Consider the following 7,057-nt stretch of genomic DNA (forward strand, 5'->3'; position numbering starts at 1 on the left):
ACCCAACACCAGATTCTGTACTTAGTGTGTTCTGTACATTGTTTCATTTCATCCTTGTAACAGCCTTTGAGGTTTAGAGAGAAGTTAAGTAATTTTCTGAAAGTCATACTGAATCAAAAACAAGCAGAATAAAAATCGAAACACAGGTCTAATTCTTAACAGCCAACCTCCTACCATCGTAGGTTCCTGAATTCCATTCCATCAAGGAACAACCTAATACTATATCAGCTCCAAAGTATTACTTGCCCCTTTCCCCTTCACATCTTCAAAACCTTTTTCAGTGCCACTCTCTAATTTTTTTTTAATTTCAAGAAGCTGCAGACTTCTCAGGTATATTATTTCTTCTTATGAAATAATAAGGGAGGTTGTTAGCTCTACTCTATATGTTAAAATGCCAAGCCAGATTATGCATGATTTGTTAGAATTGTTTTTGAAATGTGGCTGTCCTGCTTAAGTCTTGGTTAGTCATACTATGGTTAAGTCATTTCCTTAAAAATCAATGTAATTGGGCCGGGCGCGGTGGCTTATGCCTGTTATCCCAGCACTTTGGGAGGCCAAGGTAGGCAGATCACGAGGTCAGGAGTTCAAGACCAGCGTGGCCAACATGGTGAAACCCTGTCTCTACTAAAAATACAAAAATTAGCTGGGCATGGTGGCACATGCCTGTAATCCTAGCTACTCGGGAGGCTGAAACAGGAGAATTGCTTGAACTGTGACCCAGGAGGCGGAGGTTGCAGTGAACCAAGATCGCTCCACTGCAGTCCAGCCTGGGCTACAAAGTGAGACTCCACCTCAAAAAAAAAAAAAAAAAAAAAAAATCAATGTAATTGGTAGCAAGTTTGAGTTTGGTTGAGTTAGGCTTTTTAAGTCTACAAGCATTATGGCTTTGGAAATGTTTATAACATGTTTACTTTTTTTTTTTTAAATTACTTTTTAGTGCTCGCCAGAAACCCAGAGCTAATTATTTAGAAGACCGAAAAAATGGGTCAAAGCTGATTGTTTTTGTAATTGGAGGGATCACATACTCTGAAGTGCGTTGTGCTTATGAAGTTTCTCAGGCACATAAATCCTGTGAAGTTATTATTGGTAAGACTTTCATTTTCTTCTTTTCTGTTTTTTTTTTTTTTTTTGAGACTAAGTCTCGGTCTTGTCCCCCAGGCTGGAGTGGAATGGCGCAATCTTGGCTCACCGCAACCTCCGCCTCCCAGGTTCAAGCGATTCTTCTGCCTCAGCCTCCTGAATAGCTGGAATTACAGGTGTCTGCCACCACGCCTGGCTAATTTTTGTATTTTTAGTAGAGACAGGGTTTCACCATGTTGGCCAGGCTGGTCTCAAACTCCTGACCTTAGGTGATCCGCCCGCCTCGGCCTCCCAAAGTGCTGGGATTACAGACATGAGCCACCGCACCCAGCCTTCTTTTCTGTTTTTAAACAAACTCTAAATGCAAAAGTATACATGTAAAATGTTATCTTGTGTTATACATTTGAGACAAAATTTAATGCAAAAAAATTGTTAACCATAGAATGTGTTTTGTCTGATGTGCTGGAGTTTTTTCCTAGTTGACTTTTTGATAGTTTTATTTTAAAATGTGCTTATTTGAGGAAAAGGAGCTTGCTCCTTTAAAATAGTATGTTCTGTACGTTTGTTTAACCATTAAATAGTTTTTGAGGCACAAATACATTTCTACTTCAAAAATATTTTGAATTTTTTGTGGATATGGACATGACATTGGCAAGGCCTGTGTGGAATTAAGTTTTAAGAATTTCAGGCCAGGCTAGTGGCTCAGGCCTGTAATTCCAGCACTTTGGGAGGCCAAAGCAGAAGGGTCACTTGAGGCCAGGAGTTTGAAACCAGCCTGGGCAATAAAGCAAAACTCCGTCTCTACAAAAAATTAAAAAATAAGAATTTCAGTCAAAGCCAATGATAGGTAAACTCTCCTGACCCATGGAGGCGATGGATCTGTGTGTTAAGCCTTGACCTGCAGCACTGCTTAGTGGATCTCTATTATTGAACAATAACTGTTATAGTGCTGAGGATAGGATAATCCCGTTTTGCCCTTCATTATACCAACGTATAGCACAAAGTAGACAAAGCACTAGGAATGGCCGCTGTTTCTGAAAAGTTACTGAACATGCTCAGTGGTGAAGAAGGATTGAAATATTGCAGCATAGGCAGATTTCAGGAAGATGTCTTACAGAAATTTTGTTACATTACCCCAGGCTACTGCACTTTACATATTTGAAGGACAACACATTATATTAAGCGAAGGAAAATTGATTTAACTGCTGGCCTCTGAAAAATTCTCTTTTCTCCTACCAGGTTCTACACATGTTTTAACACCCAAAAAGCTGTTGGATGATATAAAGATGCTGAATAAACCCAAGGATAAAGTCTCCTTAATTAAAGATGAATAGCATTTCTTTTTGGAGGGTTTAGAGATTCTTACTAATATGTTGAACTAAAATAGAAAGAAAATGTTGCTGTCATGTAATTTAAACAATGTAAATATTTTATGGAATAATGGCTTTTCAAATACATTTCTTAAGGAACTGTTTATGATTATTACTGGATTTGTCATTTTTGATAATTTAAATATTGCTGCTGCTTTGTAGATGATGAGAAGAAATGTTAAAGTGCTTTCTAAAAGGAAATTTTTTCACCTTTGGAGGAGAATATATTAGAGTTGTGGGTAATTTTTCACAGCCACCTATGTACATACTAATTACCCATTGGATACTTATATCTAAAAGTCTCATGCTGAAGTATAGTTTTTGGGAAAGAATGATTTTAAATAAAGAGATTGTAAAAGTAAAAAACTGTAAATGTATATGTATGATAGAATTGTTTCCTCTAAGTGTAGTTTTTCTTTCAACTAAAATTCAGTTTATGTGTAAAATAATTCAGTCATTAATAGAAATGGAGTGATTTCACAGTGTGTACTGTTTTGCCACATACTTCTAAAGAACACAATTTTATATAATTTTGAAATCATGTATGTTTAAATTAGAAAACCAAAAATCATGAACATTCTAAGAGAAAATAAATATAGAATTTAAAAAATTATTCTGGTTTGTGTTTTCTGTAGGGGAGAGGGGAAAGTTACAAATTTTAAAAGTTCTAAATTAGAGTAACAAAGAAGAAAAGGAATCTACCGTAATATTCCCACCAAGATAACTCCTAATGACTTTTTCAAAAATAACGTAATCTCTATATAGGGTTAGATAATATATGTCTGCAGATGTGTTTTGTTAAACAAAGGGAACATCTTTGTTTCAAATCTCTTCTTTTACTTGCCCTCATAGTGTTCTGTCATATGGCAGACCATAGTTTTATTGATTCAGAGTTTTGCTCTTATAAATAATGCTGCGTTGTTTGGGTACATACCTTTGCAGACTTACACAGACATTTCCATAATGTAAATTCCTAGCAGTGGTCAAGGGATTTGTGCATTTAAATATTGATGGATATCCATTTTTAATTTTTATTTAAGTAAATCCATCGCTTTTCCATTTTGGCTTCTGAATTTCACATGCTACTTAGAAATACCTTCCACACTCCAGGATTATAAATTTTTGATAGATTCATTCTATTTTTTTACAGGTAACTCACCCATCTGGAATTGATTTTAGTGTAAGAATGTGTGCTAGATATTGTCTCTTAGTACTTGGCATGACGTCCCATGCCTCCTTACCCCATACCACAGGGGATGAAAGGCTAAACATGAAGTTTTTCAGGTTCTAGGATAAGTAAGGTCTGAACAGTTTATATTCTACCAATGATGTGCACTTGGTCAAGATTTGGAGGCAGAGGCCATCTACTATGCCAGTAAGCAATCTCCCGCAGACAGGAATTGTTTGTAGCAACCAGACTCCACATTTTAGTGTCTTGTCGCCTGCTTCGTGGGTATGAGTTAATGCTGTGGCAGCAGCACTAGCTTCCTGTCCTTTGGGTCACAGATGGTAAAATGATCGTGGGTCTCCAGTTTCTGCTCCTACTGCTTTTTCAGTGATTTTTGTAACGACCTAATTCTCTGTATTAAATGCCTTTCTGCTTGAAATATCTAGAGAAGTTTGTTTCCTGCACAGAACCCTGACTTGATGGAGTATTTCATAGTGGTCCAGCTTCACTCCTTTCTAAACAGCCAGATGTTATACCAGATCCTATTGGATAATCTCTCTTTCCCCAACTAATCTGAAATACCACCATTATCATAGACTAAATTTCCATTTGTATTGTGGTCTATTTCTGGATTCTCTTTTAATGACCTACAGTTTGTTTTGTATTTCTTTTTCCCTATTTCAATTCATGGTATGTTTCAATATGTAGTGGAAGAAGTTCCTATTCAATCCACCTAAATTACTATTATTTTTCAGAAATTTTCTATCAGATTTTTCTAGATGAATTTTAGTATCCTTTTGTTGAGTTCCCAAAAAAAGCCATTTTGGTATTTTCATAGGATTTGCATTGTTCCTAGGTTAACTTAGGAAAAATCAACATCTTTTATAATATTGAAACTTTGATATTCAGGAATGTGAAATGTCTTTTCATTTAAATCTTCATAACCTTCAGAATCTTCATTTTCTTCATATAGTTACTGCACATTGTCAAAATATTTTTGTAGTTCCTTTGTGGGTTGAATCTTCTACTATTTTCAAATGGTTTTTTACACATAGAAATTTATTTATTTTTTTTTAAATAGAGACAGGGTCTTGCTATGTTACCCAGGCTGGAGTGCAGTCATGTGATCATAGCTCACTGGAATTTTGAACTCCTGGGCGATAGTGATCTTCCTGCCTCAGCCTCCCAAGTAGCCAGGACTACAGGTATGGGCCACCACATATGGCTAATTTTTGGGTTTTTTTGTTTTTGTTTTTGTTTTTTTGTATAGACAGTCTCACTGTGTTGCCCTGGCTGGTCTCAAACTCCTGGGCTTAAGCAATCCTCCTTCTCAGCCTCCCAAAGTGTGGGGATTACAGGTGTGAGCCATTGTGCCTGGCCAACTTTTGATATGTTAATCTTACAACTTTACTAAGTATTGATAATAAAGTAATAATATACAAATGCTTACTTAGTGCTTTCTATTATTAATTCATTCCATCTTCTCGTGTATTCCTGTGAGCATAGGTACTGTGATTATCATCTTTATTTTAAAGCTGAGGAAACCGACACAAAGAGATGGATGTAACTTGGTGTGGATGAGTGCATGGAAAGGAAGGGCCTGGCACAATAAACAGCCCTCTTTGCAAACTACGCATGAAAACAATATATCTCCAGTAAGAGGATTAGTTTTTGGTGTCTGCATTTTATCTGAGATCTTTGTGTGCCTCAGTAACTCCCTCTCCAGGGTCAGAACATGTGTGGAATAGGTATTTAGATTAATCCAATGGCCTGGAACAAATGGAACTAAGAGTGTGATGACAGCAAACACTGGACTGTTTATTCATTTGATCACTTGACATCTCAGTGACCACTTTACCCTGATCACACTGATATCGGATGTTTTGAGTCCTGTATTTCACATATATGTTAAGCTTTGAATTGCAGAGACCCTTTGTTTACAAAATCTCTTATGAATTTGAAGCCATAAGACGTCATCTCACATAAATTCCTTGTATAAGCTGATTTTTTTTCCCCCATAGAATTAGCAATTACAGGCCAAAGCAGGAGGATCACTTGAGCCCAGGAGTTTGAGACGAGCCTGAGCAACATAGTGAGACCACATCTTTTTTTTTTTTTTTTCGTTCTATGAATATTCCAAAAGTGAGACCACATCTTTACAAAAAAAGGAAAAAAAAAAAAGCTGGGTGTGGTGACACGTACCTGTGATCCCAGCTACTACTCAAGAGGCTGAGGCAGGAGGATTGCTTGAACCAAGGAGGTGGAGGCTGCAGTGAACTGTGATCACACCACTGCACTTCAGCCTGGGCGAGTCAGTCCCTGTCTGAAAAAAAAAAATTACAGGTTTTGATTTCAAGACCCAGAAAAAGACTTTTTTGTTGTTGCAACCAATGGAAACCATTTATTCACTGTCTCTGAAACACAGATTTGCTTCCTGTTGAAATGTGCTTTATTTATAAAGTACAGTGGATTCACATTCTTCAATCATATTAGTAAATAAATAAGGATATCTTTATTAATCCTGTTATCCTGGTTCCTAGACCCTTAGCCTTTACTGCTCCAGGATCACAATAGGAGTTCACAAGATCTCAAAAGTCTTGGATTTGAGCCCCAAAGGGCCTGACCCCACAGTTTATTGTGTAAGATACGACACCTCCATAACTCAGTTCTTCCCTAGGTATTTGTACCCATTGTAAGTCCTATTGGAATGCAAGCAGATTTCTTCTAAAATCAAAGGAGCAAGAAATGTCTTCCTTCTATAGGAAAATTTTTAACACCAAAACAATGTTTTTTCTATTAAATATAAACACATATTCGTATTTAGTACAAATTAGGCCTATTTTATATAATTCATTAACAGCAAGATTATAATAGGATAAAAAGATGAGATTTCTTTTGCAAACTATAATAGTTAACTAAAGGGGATGGCTAGAACTTTGTCTTAAAGATGATAGGCCGGGCGCAGTGGCTCACGCCTGTAATCCCAGCACTTTGGAAGGCCGAGGCAGGCAGATCACCTGAGGTCAGGGATTGGAGACCAGCCTGACCAACATGGTGAAATCCCATCTCTACTAAAAATACAAAAATTAGCTGGGTGTGGTGGTGGGTGCCTATAATCCCTCGGGAGGCTGAGGCAGGAGAATCACTTGAACCTGGGAGGCAGAGATTGCAGTGAGCCGAGATCCCGCAATTGCACTCCAGCCTGGGCGACAGAGTGAGACTCCGTCTCAAAAAAAATAAAAATAAAAAAAAATAATAAAAAGATGATAAAAAGCCCTCTATAGACAGTCCCATTGCATCCTGCTGGCAGCTTCCAGCGGCCAGAGCACAGCTAGACCTTGGAGTAAATACTGAGAGGCCTGTGCACCCTGGAGACTGCCAGGTGTTTCTTTACAGCCCTCAGGCAATGCTGAGTCCCTTGATGCCAGCATTAGGGGTA

General features: G+C 37.6%; 1 protein-coding gene across 1 annotated transcript in view; it reads left to right on the plus strand.

Annotated features, from left to right (window-relative positions):
• The window catches only part of STXBP3 (syntaxin binding protein 3), a 62,850-nt gene extending 59,790 nt beyond the window's left edge, over nt 1-3,060 (plus strand). Inside the window, exons 18-19 of the mRNA NM_007269.4 lie at nt 938-1,086; nt 2,320-3,060. Of these exons, the coding sequence (NP_009200.2) occupies nt 938-1,086; nt 2,320-2,414 (244 nt within the window). The 3' untranslated portion in view covers nt 2,415-3,060. The remainder of the gene's footprint in view (nt 1-937; nt 1,087-2,319) is intronic.
• The last annotated feature ends 3,997 nt before the right edge of the window (nt 3,061-7,057 follow it).

Source organism: Homo sapiens, chromosome 1 (genome assembly GCF_000001405.40).
Source record: "Homo sapiens chromosome 1, GRCh38.p14 Primary Assembly".
In the NCBI taxonomy this organism is placed as follows: Eukaryota; Metazoa; Chordata; class Mammalia; order Primates; family Hominidae; genus Homo; species Homo sapiens.